General features: G+C 41.1%; 1 protein-coding gene and 1 pseudogene across 9 annotated transcripts in view, besides 1 other annotated feature; one reads left to right on the plus strand and one right to left on the minus strand.

The window, feature by feature from the left end:
* BDP1 (BDP1 general transcription factor IIIB subunit) overlaps positions 1–18276 on the plus strand; it is a 122638-nt gene that overhangs the window by 16483 nt on the left and 87879 nt on the right. For all 9 annotated transcript variants that reach the window (XM_017009630.2, XM_047417372.1, XM_017009631.2 and 6 more), the window contains exons 8-10: positions 11709–11763; positions 14351–14494; positions 17271–17549. In XM_017009630.2, the coding sequence (XP_016865119.1) occupies positions 11709–11763; positions 14351–14494; positions 17271–17549 (478 nt within the window). The remainder of the gene's footprint in view (positions 1–11708; positions 11764–14350; positions 14495–17270; positions 17550–18276) is intronic.
* Positions 3425–4136, minus strand: LOC100419852 (sterol carrier protein 2 pseudogene; annotated as a pseudogene).
* Positions 11269–11563: an enhancer, noted in NCBI's record as "tiled region #10712; HepG2 Activating DNase matched - State 6:EnhF". NCBI's record gives its function as "activates a minimal TATA promoter and a strong SV40 promoter by Sharpr-MPRA in HepG2 cells {active_cell/tissue: HepG2}" and the evidence as "EXISTENCE:reporter gene assay evidence [ECO:0000049][PMID:27701403]".

An 18276-nucleotide genomic window follows, 5' to 3' on the forward strand; every position in this document is an offset into this window, starting at 1 on the left:
ATGGCTCTAGCAGGTCGTTGGGTAAAGTGTAGAAAAGTGAGAGTAGGCTGGGCATGGTGGCTCACGCCTGTAATCCCAGCACTTTGGGAGGCCAAGGCAGGTGGATCACCTGAGGTCAGGAGTTCAAGACCAGCCAGGCCAACATGGTGAAACCCCGTCTCTACTAAAAATACAAAAATTAGCCGGACGTGGTGGCGCATGCCTGTAATCCCAGCTACTCGGGAGGCTGAGGAAGGAGAATCGCCTGAACCCGGGAGGTGGAGGTTGCAGTGAGCTGAGATTGTACCACTGCACTCCAGTCTGTGCAATGGGAGTGAGACTCCATCTCAAAAATGAGAATAGACTGTATTTAAAGCTACTGAATTACATTACCTTGATTTTCAAATATTGGACTAATGTATTCCTGTATAACTTCCATTTGGTCATAGTGTATTCTTTTTCTGTGTTGCTCTATTTTGCTACATTTTCTTGAGGATTTTTTTGCTACTTTGTTCATAAGGGATACTGATTTGTAATTTTCTTTTACAAAGTCTGTCCTATTTTGATATGAGGCTTATACTGGTTACAGAAATTGAGCTGAAAAGTGTTCCCTCTTCTATTTTCTGAAATAATTTGTTGAAGATCAGTATTATTCTGTCTTTAATATTTGATAGAATTTACCTGTGAAACTATATGATCCTGTAGTTTTCTTTGGAGGAAGAGTTTATTTTATAAATATACTCTTTCATTGATAATTTGTATTTTCTCTCTCTCTCTTTTTTTTTTTTTTTTTTTTTTTGGAGACAGGGTCTCACTCTGTCACCCAAGCTGGAGTGCAGTGGTGCTATCATGGCTCACCTCCTGGGCTTGAGTGATCCTCCCACCTCAGCCTCCTGAGTAGTTGGGACTACGGGCACGTGCCACAATGCCCGGCTAATTTTTCGTATTTTTTTGTAGAGACTGGCTTTTGCCATGTTGCTCAGGCTGGTCTGGGACTCCTGTGCCCAAGTGATCTGCCTGCTTTGGCCTCCCAAAGTTCTGGAATGACAGGTGTGAGCCACTTGTCCTAGCCTCTTTTTTTCTTAATTCATCTTGCTAAGTGTTTATTAATCTAAACATCTTTTTAATGAACCAACTTTTCTTAATGTAATTTTTTTTTTTTTTTTTTTTTTTTTTTTTTGAGATGGAGTCTTGTTCTGTAGCCCAGGCTGGAGTGCAGTGGTGACATCTGGGCTCACTGCAAGCTCCGCCTCCTGGGTTCATGCCCTTCTCCTGCCTCAGCCTCCCGAGTAGCTGGGACTACAGGCACCCGCCACCACGCCCAGCTAATTTTTTGTATTTTTAGTTGAGACGGAGTTTCACTGTGTTAGCCAGGATGATCCTATCTCCTGACCTTGTGATCCGCCTGCCTCGGCCTCCCAAAGTGCTGGAATTATGGGCGTGAGCCACTGCGCCTGGCTTCTTAATGTAAGTTTTAGGTTTCCAATTGTTGGTGTGTTTTTATTGATTTTTTTTTGTTACTGTTTAGCACTTCCTTCCATTTACTTTGTGTTTGTTTTTCTAGCTTCTTTATTTATTTATTATACTTTAAGTTTTAGGGTACATGTGCACAACGTGCAGATTTGTTACATATATGTACATGTGCCATGTTGGTGTGCTGCACCCATTGACTCGTCATTTAACATTAGGTATATCTCCTAATGCTATCCCTCCGCCCTCCCCCCACCCCACAACAGGCCCCGGTGTGTGATGTTCCCCTTCCTGTGTCCATGTGTTCTCATTGTTCAATTCCCTTTTCTAGCTTCTTAAGATGAAAACTTAGAGCACTGATTTTAAAGCCTTCTTTTTTAAAGTAGACATTTAAAGCTATACATTTCGTTTTTTTTGACACAGAGTCTTGCTCTGTCGCCCAGGCTGGAGTGCAGTGGCGGATCTCGGCTCACTGCAAGCTCCGCCTCCCGGGTTCATGCCATTCTCCTGCCTCAGCCTCCCGAGTAGCTGGGACTACAGGCGCCCACCACCATGCCCAGCTAATTTTTTTGTATTTTTAGTAGAGATGGGGTTTCACCATGTTAGCCAGGGTGGTCTCGATCTCCTGACCTCGTGATCCTCCTGCCTCAGCCTCCCAAAGTGCTAAGATTACAGGCATGAGCCACCGTGCCTGGCCTGTACATTTCCTTTTAAGCATCACTAGAGCTGTGTCCCACAAATTTTGATTTTTTTTTTTTTTGAGACAGTCTTGCTCTGTTGTCCAGGCTGGAGTGCAATGGCATGATCTTGGCTGACTGCAAACTCCACCTCCCAGGCTCAAGCAATCCCCTGCCTTAGCCTCCCAAGAAGTTGGGACTATAGGTGCACACCACTAACACCACTATGCCCAGCTAATTTTTGTATTTTTTTGTACAGATGAGTTTTCATCAGGTTGCTCAGGTGGGTCTCTGACTCCTGAGGTTGGCCAGGCGTGGTGACTCACGCCTGTAATCCTAGCACTTTAGGAGGCTGAGGGGGGTGGGTCACTTGAGGTGTGGAGTCCAAGACCAGCCTGGCCAACATGATGAAACCCCGATCCTATTAAAATACAAAAATTAGCCAGGTGTGGTGGCAGGCACTTGTAGTCCTAGCTACTCGGGAGGCTAAGGCAAGAGAATTGCTTGAACCCGGGAGGGAGAGGTTGCAGTGAACCGAAATTGCATCACTGCACTCCAGCGTAGGCAACAGAGCAAGACTCTGTCTGAAAAAAAAAAAAATATATGATCCACCCTCCTTGGCCTCCCAAAGTGCTGGGATTACAGGCGTGAGCCACCATGCCTGGCCCCCAGTATAAAATTTTAAGAATTATTAATTATTACTGATTAAGGTTATTAAATGCATAACACTAATTACTTGCCAGCTATTGGTAGTCTTTTTCTTCTCTAGTTCATCCAGGGAACTCTTAAATTACATCTTCAGCAGAATAATCCTTAAATGTACTTTATTTTAATTTTTTTTTTGAGACAGAGCCTCGCTCTGTTACACAGTGTGGAGTACATGGGCATGATTACGGCTCACTGCAGCCTCTGTCCTGGCTCACTGCAGCCTCTTACCTGCTGGGCTCAAATGATCCTCCCACCTCGGCTTCCTAGGTAGCTGGGACTACAGGCACATGCCACTATGCCCAGCTAATTAAAAAAATTTTTTTGTAGAGACTAAGTCTCACTGTGTTGCCCAGGTTGGTTTCGAACTCCTTGACTCAAGTGATCCTCTTGCCTTGCCCTCCCAAAGTGTTGGGATTACAGGCATGAGCCACTGTGCCTGGCCCTTCAGTGCACTTCATAAGCAAAATGGGAGCTTTTGTTTATGTACTTTTTTTGTATTTTGCTGTTCCTAATTTTATTCTGAAACTCAGTTTTACTCCAGGCCATAAATAACGTATTAACTTTGTAATGCACAGTTGTTTCCAGTTCAGCAAAGCAGTAGTTCATTATCAGGCTGTATTCACCCAGAGGTTAGGAAAACCAGGATTGGTCACACCTTTTAAAACAAATCTATCTCATGTTATTTTTCAATGTGTAGTTTCAGCCTAAATTCTGACAATGAAATTGTATGAATTCCTATCTGTGAGATGAGATATCTTGATTTTCAAAAGTAGCCAAAGGGAGTTCCTCGCAGCTTACCTTTGCTCGGCTGAAGCTGAAAACTTTGTAACTTCATATTGCCAGTGATTTTCCCTTTGCCTTGAAAGAAGGAGAACTGAGGATTCATTTTACCACTTCAATCACTAAAGCCAGTAAATCCTAGTCAGTCTTTGTGATTGTGTGGTCAGCTTTCTCATCTGAGTTAGAGTTAGAAAGCACTGATCCTTTGTGTTCTTTACCTCCACCACTAGGTGGCTTCTTTACCCCCTAGGCCATTCATTCTTCACCTTAAAGGCAAAAATACCACGGATTTTCTTCACAATCTGTCCACTTTCCTCTTCAGGCTTCCTCTAAATCTCTTTAAACACAAGATTTGCCTTAAATCCATTCCCTGTAAAGCTGGTTGGAGCAGCCTAATTTGATGAGTTCTAAAAGAACTGGCAGCTTTGAGAAAACACATCTTGTGAAGTGTTAAAACCCCAGCTTCTCTAAGGCCTAAATTATGCTGCACGCCAACCTTTGCATCAGGAGCTTGCCTCTTTCTAGCTTCCTTTCTCAGCTGCTAGCAAAGTTCAGCACACTGAACCAGCTGTTTATTGGTTTATTATAAAGGATATTATAAGGGATACAGATGAAGAGATTCATAGAGTACGGTCTGGAAGGGTCTTGAATGCAGGCACTTCTGCTGGAGGAGTTGGGGTGCACTGACCTCCCAGCACGTGGTTGCATTCACCAACCACGAAGCTCCTGAAAATCTCAGCCTTTTATTTGTTTGTTTTTTCCATAGCCCCAAATAACATGGCCAGCTTTGACTTTTTTTTCCCTTTTTTTTTAGACAGAGTCTCGCTCTGTCATCCAGGCTGGAGTGCAGTGGCACGATCTCAGTTCACTGCATCCTCTGCTTTCCAGGTTCAAGCCCTTCTCCTGCTTCAGCCTCCTGAGTAGCTTGGAATTACAGGCGCGTGCCACCACGCCCAGCTAATTTTCTTTTTTTTGAGATGGAGTCTCGCTCTGTCACCCAGGCTGGAGTGCAGTGGCGCGGTCTAGGCTCACTGCAAGCTCCGCCTCCCGGGTTCACACCATTCTCCTGCCTCAGCCTTCCGAGTAGCTGGGACTACAGGCGCCCGCCACCACGCCTGGCTAATTTTTCGTATTTTTAGTAGAGACGGGGTTTCACCCTGTTAGCCAGGATGGTCTTGATCTCTTGACCTCGTGATCTGCCCACCTCGGCCTCCCAAAGTGCTGGGAATTACAGGCGTGAGCCATCGTGCCCGGCCCCCCCACCTTTTTTTTTTTTTAAGTAGAGATGGGGTTTTGCTATGTTGGCCAGGCTCGTCTCAAACTTCCTTACTTCAAGTGGTCTGCCTACCTCAGCCTCCCAAAGTGCGGGGATTATAGGCATGAGCCACCGAGCCCAGCCTCTTTTTCCTTTCCTTTTCTTTTTTTTTCTTTCGAGACAGGGTCTTTGTTGCTCGGGCTGGAGTGCAGCGGTGCAACCATAGCTCACTGCCGCCATGACCTCCTGGGCTCAAGCAATCCTCCTGCCTCAGCCTCCTGGACCACAGGTGTGCGCTACTGTGCTTGACTAAATTTTTTATTTTTTGTAGAGAAGAGGTCTTACTGTGTTGCCTAGGTTTGTCTCAAATTCCTAGGCTCAAGCAATCCTCCTGCTTCAGCCTCTCAAAGTGCTGGCGTTACAGGCATGAGACACTGCACTTAGCCCTATATATTTTTAAATTCACCTTACAGTGAACTTATTTTATAATAGTTTAATGAGGCAGCTGGTCCAAGTGCACTGGTGTTTACAACTAAATGATCACAACTGATTACAGATTTCTTTTTTAATATTAAAAATTTTTTTTAAACACCAGCTGACCCATGTTCAGACAAATTTTTTCTTTTTTTTTTTTGATATAGGGTCTCACTCTCTGTTGCCCAGGCTGGAGTGCAGTAGTGTGATTGTGGCTACCTGCAGCTTCAGCCTCTTGAGCTCAAGTAATCCTTCCATCTCAGCATCCCAAGTGCCCAACTACAGGCATGTGTCACTATGCCCACCTAATTTTTCTATTTTTTTGTAGAGATGGGGTTTTGCCATGTCGCCCAGGCTGGTCTCAAACTCCTGGGCTCAAGCAATCTGCCGCCTCAGCCTCCCAGAGTGCAGGGATTGCAGGCTGAGCCACCATACCTGGCCCAGATAAATTTCTTTTATCCTACTCTACTGGCCTTAAAAACAAAAATAAACAGCCGGGTGCGGTGATTCACGCCTGTAATCCGAGCACTTTGGGAGGCCGAGGCAGGCGGATCACCTGAGGTTGGGAGTTCGAGACCAGGCTGACCAACATGGAGGAACCCTGTCTCTACTAAAAATACAAAATTAGCCAGGCGTGGTGGCACATGCCTGTAATCCCAGCTACTCGGGAGGCTGAGGCAGGAGAGTCGCTTGAACCCGGGAGGTGGAGGTTGCGATGGCCGAAATCATGCCATTGGACTCTAGCCTGGGTAACAAGAGCAAAACTCTGTCTCAAAAACAAAAACAAAAACAAGCAAACAAAAAAACAGCTCTCTCTCTCTACATATAGATATATATGAGTCTTTTGTCTTTTAAGGAAATCAAGTAGAAAAAAGCTAGTTTTTAGCATTTAACTATTTATTTACCATTTTTGGTGTTTTCATTTCTTCCTGTAGGTCCAAATGACAGGTCTACTGTTGAAAAATTTTCTGAGCTTTCATTTATCTGAATGTTTTTATTTCAGCCTTTCAGCCTTGTTTTTGAATGATATATTTTGCCAGTTTGACAGTTTTTTCTTTTTGGTCTTTTAAAGATGTCATTGTATCGTCTCCTGGCTTTCAGTGTTGCTGATGAAAAGTCGACAGTAATCATATCGTTCTTGCCTCATATATGATTAATTATATTTCTCTGGCTGTTTTCAGGATTTTTTTTTTTTAATTTTAGTATTCAGCTGTATGACGATGATATGCCTAGCTTTAGTTTTGAGTTTGCTCAGCTTCTTGCATCTTTTACTGTATTAGGGAAATTTTAAATTACTTTTAATAGTTTCTCTGTTTAATCCTCTCGTTCTGGAACTCCACCAACATAGTTTACCCCATGTGACGTTCTACAGGTTACCAAAGCTCTGACCACCTTTTTCCAATCTTTTTTCCTCCATTTCAGTTTTGATAGTTTCTATTGTCATAGCGTCAAGTTCACTGACTCTGTCTTTTGTCTTCAATCTGCTGTTAAACCCATTTAGTGAATATTTTATTTCTGATACTGTATTTCTTATTTCTGTAATTTTCACCTGGTTTTTATTTTATTTTATTTTATTTTATTTTTGAGATGGAGTCTCGCTCTGTTGCCCAGGCTGGAGTGCAGTGGTGCGATCTCGGCTCACTGCAAGCTCTGCCTCCCAGGTTTACGCCATTCTCCTGCCTCAGCCTCCCGAGTAGCTGGGACCACAGGTGCCCGTCATGCGCCCGGCTAATTTTTTGTATTTTTAGTAGAGACGGGGTTTCACTATGTTAGCCAGGATGGTCTTGATCTCCTGACCTAGTGATCCGCCTGCCTCAGCCTCCCAAAGTGCTGGGATTACAGGTGTGAGCCACTGCACCTGGCCTCCTCCTGGTTATTTTTTATAGTTTCCATTTCTCTGCTGAGATTTCCCCATCTCTTCACTATACTTTCCTCTGAATCGTGAAACATCTCTATAATGAATGGCTCCTTTAACTTTTTTGTTTGTTTATTCTAATATCTAGATCATATTGGAATCTGTTTCTTTTTTTCTTTTTTTTCTGAGTCTGCTTGCCAGGGAATGGGATCTTTTTCTTTTTCTTTTTTTTTGAGGCGGAGTCTCGCTCTTTTGCCCAGGCCAGAGTGCAGTGGCGCAATCTTGGCTCACTGCAAGCTCCGCCTCCCGGGTTCACGCCATTCTCCTGCCTCAGCCTCCCAAGTAGCTGGGACAACAGGCGCCCACCACCACGCCCGGCTAATTTTTTGTATTTTTAGTAGAGACGGGGTTTCACTGTGTTAGCCAGGATGGTCTCGATCTCCTGACCTCGTGATCTGCCTGCCTCGGCCTCCCAAAGTACTGGGATTACAGGCGTGAGCCACCGTGCCCAGCCTTGACTTTTTCTTTTCTTTTCCTATCACATTTTCCTATCTTTTCTCATGTCATGTGGGTTTTAAAAAATAATTAATTTTTTGGTCTCCGTCACGGGTTTTTTTGTTTGTTTTTGTTTGAGACAGAGTCTCGCTATGTCACCCAGTCTAGAGTATAGTGGCGTGATCTTGGCTCACTGCAACCTCCGCCTCCCAGGTTCAATCGATTCTCCTTCCTCAGCCTCCTGAGTAGCTGGGACTACAGGTGCGCACCACCATGCCTGGCTAATTTTTTTTTTTTTATTTTGAGACGGAGTCTCACTCTGTCGCCAGGCTGGAGTGCAGTGGTGCTGTCTCAACTCACTGCAACCTCTGTCTCCTGGGTTCAGGTGATTCTCCTGCCTCAGCTTCCCAAGTAGCTGGGACTACAGGCGCGCACCACCATGCCCAGCTAATTTTTTTTTTTTTTTTTTTTTTTTTTTTTTGTATTTTTAGTAGAGACAGGGTTTCACCATGTTGGCCAGGATGGTCTCAATCTCTTGACCTTGTGATCCACCCGCCTTGGCCTCCCAAAGTGCTGGGATTACAGACGTGAGCCACCGTGCCCAGCCTAATTTTTATATTTTTAGTAGAGGTGGGGTTTCATCACGTTGGCCAGGCTGGTCTCGAACTCCTGACCTCAAGTGATCCACCTATCTTGGCCTCCCAAAGGGCTGGGATTATAGGCGTGAGCCACTGTGCCCGGCCATTTTTTTTTTTTTTGAGATGGAATCTCACTCTGTTGCCCAGGCTGGAGTTCAGTAGCATGATCTCAGCTCACTGCAACCTCTGCTTCCTGGGTTCAGGTGATTCTTCTGCCTCAGCCTCCCAAGTTGGGATTACAGGTGCATGCCACCATGCCTGGCTAATTTTTGTATTTTTAGCAGAGATGTGGTTTCACCATGTTGGCTAGGCTGGTCTCGAACTCCTGACCTCAAGTGATCCACTCACCTCAGCCTCCCACAGTGCTAGGATTATAAGAAGTGAACCACCATGCCCGGCCAACCGTGAGTTTTTTTGAAATTGCATACTAGGCCAGGCGTAGTGGCTCATGCCTGTAGTCCCAACACTTTGGGAGGCCAAGGCGGGTGGATCACGAGGTCAGGAGATAAAGACCATCCTGGCTAACACAGAAACCCTGTCTCTACTAAAAATGTGAAAAATTAGCCAGGCGTGGTGGCGTGCGCCTGTAGTCCCAGCTACTTGGGAGGCTGAGGCAGGAGAATGGCATGAACCCGGGATGCAGAGGTTGCAGTGAGCTGAGATCGCGCCACTGCGCTCCAGCCTGTGAGACAGAGCAAGATTCCGTCTCAAAAAAAAAAAATGAAATCACATACCAGACATTGTGAATGATGTGTTGTAGAGTGTCTGGATTATGTTTTTTCTTTTTTTTTTTAAAGCGCAGTGGGCCAGGCGCGGTGGTTCACACCTCTAATCCTAGTATTTTGGGAGGCTGAGACGGGAGGATTGCTTGAGCCCAGAAGTTCAAACCCAGACTGAGCAACATGGCAAGATCCCATCTCTACAAAGAAAAAAAAAAAAAAAAAAAAAAAAGCCAGGCTTGGTGGCACACGTCCCCTAGCAATTCAGGAGGCTGAGGCAGGAGGATTGCTTGAGCCTGGGAGATCAAGGCTGCAGTGAGCTGTGATCACAGCACTGCATTCCAGTCTGGAAGACATCAAGACTCTGTTTCAATAAACAAAACAGAATAAAAAATAGTGTTGACTTTTGTTCTGGAAAACTGTTAATGTACTGCCAACTTCTTTGTTCCTGTTAAGGCTTGTCTTAAAGCTTTGTTGAGGCAGATCTAGACTGGTCTTTAATCTAGGACATCCTTTCTCCAATGGGATTTCTCATCTGATTTACAGAAAATAATTTGAATTACTATTATATTTTATTATTTTCTTCTTTTCCCAGAACAGTCTCATGGTAGGCATGAGTTATTATTTTCTAAGTTCTCTAAGGATGGTTATACTAATACTATACTATTAATAGATAAGTGAGAGAAGGGAATGCATTGCATACAGTGGCTGCTTTAATGCATTAGTACTTAATTCTCATGCTACATCCCTGGTAGAGAAAGGCTACTCTAGGGTATCGTTTTTATCTCTAATGGTGATCTTTCTGGTGTCTGAGGTGAATGTATTTGGGTATTAATGAGGTCTTTCCATTAGGATGCACCTGAACTCTATTGTCATATGGTGTTTTATGACTTTTAGCATCTTCCTTCTGCCTTCATGGCTTTAGCAGCTGTTCTCTTTTAAGCCTTATATTCTGGACATATGCAACCCATACTTAGGCCAAGGTATCATGGGGTATTTCCACCAGGCCTGTGAGGTACCCCTCTACACAGTTCCTTTTTAGAACTATGCTCCTAAAGATTCCCTACCTCTGCAGCCTAGTTGGATTGCTGTACCCTGTTTGGCCTTCACCTCCCTTTCCTTGGTTAGGAAATTGAGCCCAGGCAGAGAGCCAAGGTAAACATGGGCACATCTTGTCTGTTTTCCTTCTCTCCGTGATTGTAGTCTTGCTCTCACTATTGTCCTTTGCTTGAAAATAATTGATGCATATATTTTGTCAGTGTTAAAAGTCATTCGTGGTGGAGTTGGATATGTAGGACCTGTCCATAATGAGTTACTTTGCCAAGGCCAGAAGTGGAAATTATGGGATTTATTTTGTGATCATGGAATTTGGCCTGTTACTGGTTCTTACCTATGAAATCATTGACTAGTTTCAATATATTTCTTTGAGAAAGTTTTAAATTGTTCTGAATTATATTACCAATTAAGTAAAATATGAGGTAGCACTGTTTTAGAATTAAATGCCTGAAGCCTATTGATATTTCTTTTAGGACATTTAATTTAGTGTTTATAGCCAATCATTTTTTGTGGAGGTAACATTTGTTAACTTTTGAGGAAATGTTTAAATAACAGTATGATCTTTTAAGGCAGAAATAAGATTATCTTTGAAAACTTCTGTATTGATAATAAGTTTTGTGAAGAAAAACAAAAGAATGGGAAAGAAGGGCAACCTGTACATTAAAAGATGTTAATGTCATATCAGGTTTTAAAAATATGGGCAAGGCTAAACTGTATCATCTAAGAATACACACTTGGGTCATAAACAATAAGGAAATACAAGAAAGTGATTGCTTTACAAGTCATATTAGTGGTTAAGTTCTTTTGAAGGGAGGAAGGGGGCATGAAGTACTTCCTTTGTTTTATGTGATATTCTCTCTCTCTTTTTTGCAATTAAAAAGCTTTATTTTTGTGCTTTTAATAAAAACTTGTAGATCACTGACGTGTAGATGGGAAACATTGGCTGTTTGTTTCCTCTCCTACGATGTGTTTGCGTGATCAGACGTCTTCAGACACAAACTTATGCCCTCAGTCTTCCTAATGACTTTAGGATGGATTGAGCCTTAAGCCTTAAACATCTCCCTCTTAATGGAAGTAATCTGGTAGTAAACTGAGGACAGGGATTTTTGGGGCTGAGAAAAATGTGAGGAAATGTGCCTTAATATATAGAAGTTTGTCAGGATAAACTTGGCCTGCTTCAAAATTTCACTTAGTTGTTTCTCTATAGTCTTCTCTCCATGCTACTTGAAATATATTAGAACAATGATGTCAGAGGTTTAACCTGTTACGAATACTTAATTTTTTAAAAGTTAATACCAGTGAGCTTAGTCATAGGTTTGATCTGCTTTCATGTTTGTTGACTTTATTTTTTTCTGTCCTCTGTAAATCCAGCTTCCATTGCTGATTCATGCTATTGGTAATGAGAATCAAGAAGCTCAGTAAAAATCTTTCATCCTTATTTTTAAAAAGCCGAAGGTTTAAGTAACTTGCCTATTGGCAAAGACATATTAAGTAGAGAGCAGTATGTTATTCCTAAGAGTTTCATTTTAATGCTTACTGCATTTAAAAAAAAATGCTTGTTTTATGAGAGAAAATTACCATAGGGTTTTTTGTTGTTAACAGAATAAATTTAAACGGGAAGAGAAAACAAATGGATGGAGAATAGACAAAGCATTCCGTAAGTATTAAGACCTCTTTTACAAAGTATTACTTGAAGAGCCTAAAAAATGACCAGTCTTTTGTCTTTGGCTTTAGTGTGTTTTAGATTTGTTTTGTTCCTGTATTGGCATTAAGAGGAAGCAGTCTGAAATTTTTCTGTTTAGCAGTATGGGTCTGGCACTTGCTACAAATATATTGGCAGGAGATTATCCAGAACATCTAGGTGCAGGTAAACAGTTCTAAGTCCAAGAAGTTATGGAGGGATTGATGCTACCACTTCTAAGTGTTATTTATTCTGAAGGAACTGTATGGGAGGAGATCATTGTTTCTGGAAGACAGTACTATTAGTTATATAGATGGTTCTTTCTGGTTCTGAATGACTAATCAGTCATTCAGTCAATAACACTGACCACCTACTATATGGTAGTCATTGTTCTAGGTATTGAGCATGTAATGGTGGAAGATAAATGGCAGATGAGAATCCTGCATTTAGAACCTTAAGTCTGATTGGATGGCGGAAGAAATATAGTTGATAAGCATAATTTTAGGTAGTGATTCATTTCCAAAAAGAAGAAAAAAGAGAGGGTGGATGTTTAGGTCTCTTTTTTCCTAATGATCATTGGATCATTAGGGAAGTTCTGTCTGAAGAGATACACTAGCATTTGAATTTAGATCTCATCTGAAGGAATGATAGATATCTTGCAATTTCTAACTAAAATCCTCATTAAAATTAACATATTTTTCTTCAAGTCTAGAGAAAGATATCAAAGGATCTATAAAGAAAAATACATTTACTGTTAAAAATAGTTCTTGTATTTTTTGATTACAAGATAGGTCTTTTTTTCACCACAGCTGTGGACAGGAATATATTTTTTGTGGATTTACAATTATCAGTATTTTATGATTAATAAATGTATTCAATGTCCATTTAGTCGTAAGATTAGCCATAGTGCTAATTTTAGAAAAAAAAAATCCAAATGTAGAGAGTACCTACATTATGTAGCATGTATATTTATTTTATGAGTAGACACTAAGGTAGGTGGGTGGATCCTACACCCAGTGTTTTATCGGGTCTTTAGGGAAACTGCTTTGAGGAATGGCTCTTAGAAGATCTGGAATATTGTGCTCCTCAGCCCATTCCATATTAGAGAAGTGGTCCTGAAACTTCATTAAGTGTAACACATTATAGTCAGAAAATAATTCGTAAATCTATAAACAGTCTATTTGGATTGTGAAGCATTTTTATAGACTATTATAATAGATATTTTTAAAATTTATTGATCTTAAACAGGATACAGTGTTGTATGCCTATAGGCCCAGCTACTCTCAGGAGTCGCTGAGGCAGGAGGATCTTTTCAGCCGAAGAATTCGAGGCCAGCCTGGGCAACACAGCAAGATCCTATCTCAAAACTAGAAACAACTCATTGATTTGGAGGCTTTCTATTGGAAATTTTTTTTTTAAATTAAAACCTATATAAGTTTTTTGAGAGAACTTATGTTTTGAATTTCTCTGAGAACCATGTGGAGATCCTTTATGATTCTTTGAGTGCTATGTCTTTCAGAATCATTGTGGAGAGTCAGAACAAATGAAGTCTGGGTCAACAGTGAAATAGGGTCTTCAGGAATCCCAGATTTGGGTTTAGTTTCCAGAGATTCTTTTTATTTTAGTATATACCTTCTTTTCTGAGGCTATCTTGTAATCAAACCAGTCTTTGGCTTATGTGCATAGAGCACCATTTTCTCTACATTGACTTTAAGTTCAAGCAAGGATTTGCCTCCTGGTCTGGATTCATTCCTGGAGTGTTCACTGATTACTTTCAGATATAATGCTGTTGATAGGTATTTAGTGGGCATGTTCCTGATTAAATTCATTTACTTCCCACTTTGCTGATACTTATAAGAGTAAATGGTGAAATGGTTGTGATAAAGGTAGGGCATATGGTGGTGAACAGGCATTTCAAGGACTTCTCAGTCCATAAAAAAATTGATTTATATTTATACACAGCTCAAAGTGTAGTTCAAGTTTTGACAAAGAATATGCCTGTGTAATCACTACCCCAAACAATAGAGGAAATGTTTTCATCACTTCACAAGGTCTATTATGTCCCTTTCTGAACAATCAAATGCTGTCCTCCTGGCCCAAGGCAACCACTATTTTCATTTTAATCACCATAGATAGCTTAGTGTGTTCTAGAATATCTTATACATGGTATCATATAGTATGTACCCTAGTATCTGTTTTCTTCCACTCAGTATGTTTTTGAGATTCCCTCATATTATTGCATGTATCAGTAGTTTGTTCCTTTTGTTTTGTTTAAAACTAGTTTATTTGCAATAAACAAATTATTACAAATTTGTAATAAATTATTATTTGTAATAAACTAGTTTATTTGTTTCGTTGCTGAGTGGTGTTCTGATGTGAACTAATCTATTTCCCTGCTAAGACCAACCTATTCTGTTGCTGAGTGGTGTTCTGTTGTGTATTTGTTTTTCTGTTCTCCTACTGATAAACAAACCCATTTGCTTTTGATGTTATGATACTTTAAAAGCTAGAAGTAGCTTTTAAAAATAAAAACTTGAAAGTTCTTTTCCTTTTCTTTAAACAGAGGAAAAGCGCCCTTTTGACTTCGATTTTTTTGCTCATTTGCTTCAGAAAGTTCTTGCTGAAGAAGAGAAAAGAAAACAAAAATCTGTTAAAAATCACAGTTTAAAGGAGAAGAAATCCACCAAACCACGGAAAAATGTAAAAGGTATTGATTTTAAAAGGAAGTGTGATAGTTTACTTAGTAGTAATAAACTTGCAATATTGTCCCTCAGGCCTTTGAGAGTTCATGTGTAGCTCAGGTAGTTAAGATCATCAAAGCATCCAGTTGGAGGGAGTATATGTTTTTTCAATCAACTAGTTATCTGGTCCAAAACAATAGCTTTCTTTTAAAATTTTTAACTGGCGTGATTGGGTTATTTGATATCTCTCTAGCATAGAGGATAGTTGTAGCCAGTCAAAGAGCATCAGAATTTGGAGTGTTGTATTTCATGTTTGATTATTTATTATCATTTTCCTCTGTAAAACAAATCTGGTATAAAATTCTAGGATTAAAAAAAGGAACTCTAATCTTCTGGGGTTGTGACTAGACTGTATTGGTTGAGCGTAACTTATTTCTGAAGGCTAATGTTGAGTTGTAACAGGTAGAAATTGTATATATGTAGGTATTTTTATTTTTAGGCTTATGTTTTCTTAACTATTTGAACTCTGGTCTATAAGGACAATGTTTAGCTATAATCACATAAAGAAGACGCTCGGAACTATAGGGAACCTTATATGTTAGCTAGCTTACATTTTAGCCCCCTTTGTGTTGTTTTTTTCTTTTTTTCTGTTTTTTTTGAGACAGAGTTTCGCTCTGTTGCCCAGGCTGGAGTGCAGTGGCACGATCTCGACTCACTGCAAGCTCCGCCTTCCGGGTTCACGCCATTCTCCTGCCTCAGCCTCCCGAGTAGCTGGGATTACAGGTGCCCGTCACCACACCCGGCTAATTTTTTTTGTATTTTTAGTAGAGACGGGGTTTCACCATGTTAGCCAGGATGGTCTTGATCTCTTGACCTCATGATATGCCTGCCTCGGCCTCCCAAAGTGCTGGGATTACAGGCGTGAGCCACCGTGCCCGGCCCTTTGTATTGGTTTTAATCACCAAGAAACAGCCCCAGAGATCGTAAGACACTTTTTCCTAAGGACTCACAGTGTGTGTAGTGGCAGAGGCAGAACTGAAACCTGGGATGGTGAGAGCCTGTGTTGGGGGTCCCCACGACCACCACCGGGGTTCGATTATCCACTAGGAAGACTAAGGATTCAGCATCCTCTGCCTGGAACATACAAAAATTTCGGATTTTCAAAAGAAAAGCAGTTCAGCATAAACCACATTGTACAGCTAAGGCACAGTGAGCCACTCTTATCAGTTAGGGTGGTAGGAACCCTTCCCAGAACCAAATTCTGAGACATGGCCCAAGGGCCAACCTTATAAGAAGGATTTTCAAAGGATAGCAGTCAAGCCTGCAAAATTAACTCTTTACTGTTCAAAGCTAGGCTAGAATTTCTTCTTCTGGGGCATATCTTTTAAAAAGTAGTATTGATAACTACAAAATACCTTTATTCTTAGTAGTCTTTTTTTTTTACTTACACATAATCGTAGAAGATTATGTATCTTCTTGTATGTTACAGGTGATAACATGAGTAACTCACTGTATCTTACTTAATGTAAGAACTTTTTTTTTGAGACAGGGTCTCACTTTGTTGCCCAGGCTGGAGTGCAGTGGCCTGATCTCGGCTCACTGAATCCTTCACTGCTCGAGTTCAAGCAGTTCTTTCACCTCAGCCTCCTGAGTAGCTGGAATTACAGGCATGTGCCACCATGCCCAGCTAATTTTTGTAATTTTTTTGTAGAGATGGGATTTTATCATATTGGCCAGACTGGTCTTAAACCCCTGACCTCAAATGATCGCCCACCTTGGCCTCCCAAAGTACTGGGATTGCAGGTGTGAGCCACCACGCCCAGCCAGAACTTTTTTTTTTTTTTGAGACGGAGTTTTGCTCTTGTTGCCCAGGCTGGAGTGCCATGGTGCCATCTCAGCTCACTGCAGCCTCCACCTCTCCAGTTGAAGCGATTCTCCTGCCTCAGCTTCCCAAGTAGCTGGGATTACAGGCAAGTACCACCACACCCAGCTAATTTTTGTATTTTTAGTAGAGACGGGGTTTCACCATGTTGGCCAGCCTGGTCTTGAGCTCCTGACCTCAAGTGATCTGCCTGTGTCAGCCTCCCAAAGTGCTAGGATTACAGGCGTGAGCCACCATGCCCAGCCCAGAGTTTTGCTCTTGTTGCCCAGGCTGGAGTGCAATGGTGCGATCTTGGCTCACTGCAACCTCCGCCTCCCGTGTTCAAGTGATTCTCCTGCCTCAGCCTCCCGAGCAGCTGGGATTACAGGCGCCTGCCACCATGTCCAGCTAATTTCTGTATTTTTGGTAGAGATGGGGTTTCACCATGTTGGCCAGGCTGGTCTCGAACTGCTGACCTCAGATGATCCACCCTCCTCAGCCTCCCAAAGTGCTGGGATTACAGGTGTGAGCCACCATGCCCAGCCTGTATTAAATGCATTTTCAATTTACAGTATACTCAACTTATGATGGGTTTATTGGGATGAAACCCAGTGTAAGTCAAGGAGCATCTCTATATGTAACTGTTTTTGTTTAATAAAAATGAGATTTTATGTGTATCTTGTTCTGCTTGGTTTTTTAAATGCAACAATATGCTTTGAAATTTTTCACATGACTACATATAATCTTACCTCATTATTATTATTGGCTCCGTGGATTTTTATATATTATTTAGTCATTTCCCATTAGACATTTTAGGTTGTCTTTAGGTTTTTTGTTCATACAAATAAATAATACAGAGGACATCTTTGAGTCTCTTTCCCACCTTTACAAATTTTTCTTTAGGTTGTTTAAATATTTATAGTAATTTCTCTTGTTTTCAGTGAAAAAAGTTGCCTGTGAAGGAGTGAATAATGATCCAGATGAGTCTATGAGTTCTAGAATTTCAGACACGGAAAGATCTCAGAAGGATGCTCAGACAGTTGAAGAAGAGTCTCTGACCTTATCAAGGGAGGATGCAGAGCAGGTTGCATTAGAAGTAGACCTAAATCAAAAGAAAAGAAGGAGGAAGAAGCAAGATGGAGCTAATGAACTGGGAGTAAACAATCTTTTAGAAAATGCCACTGTTCAGGCGGGTCCTTCTAAAGGAGAAAAACACAAGAGTAAGTTTCTTACATATTTAAAAAGCCTCTATATTACTTGAGAAGACATGTACAGTAATATGGTATGTAACTTAATTTTCTGTCTAGATAGCAATTAATGATGCTTATTAATTGGTTCTGTACTAATGGTACTGTGCTAACGCTGTTTATTTTTAATTAAAAAAGTTTATGTAAAAAAATTAAACAAATTAAAGTGGGGAGATTGTTCTCTAAAGTTTGTTTCTAAGATGTATCACCTCCTGTGCATTCCCATTAACTATGATTAGAAATCACATCTATATAGAGTTAAAAGTATGTTGCTATGTCTGTCAATAAAGCACAGATTTTCATGTTGTACCTCTACAGAGCACCTCTGTGAACCCACAAGGGGTTAGTTCCTATAAAAGAACTAGTGGAATATGTATTCCTTCCCTTTTTCTTTTTTACTCTTTGAATGCAAACATATTGCCACTTATGAGTTGCTTGGGGATGAGGGCTAAGAGTTTGAGGGGGAGTCTTGGTCCCTTTCCTTAAGAGTTCATATGTAGATTATTTAAAGCTGATAACCAAGGAAAAGGTAGGAGCAGACCAGAACAACCTTTCTATAAAATTTATGTTTTCTGTAGTTCAGATTTACCCATCTGATTTTAATAAAAGAGTACTGGTAGCTAACATAGTATGCTTTGTAGGCATCTCAATATTATGCTCTTTTTTGGCTTATTGGAGTCATTACGTATAATGCAGAACA

The sequence above is a fragment of the Homo sapiens genome, chromosome 5, assembly GCF_000001405.40.
Source record: "Homo sapiens chromosome 5, GRCh38.p14 Primary Assembly".
Lineage (NCBI taxonomy): Eukaryota > Metazoa > Chordata > Mammalia > Primates > Hominidae > Homo > Homo sapiens.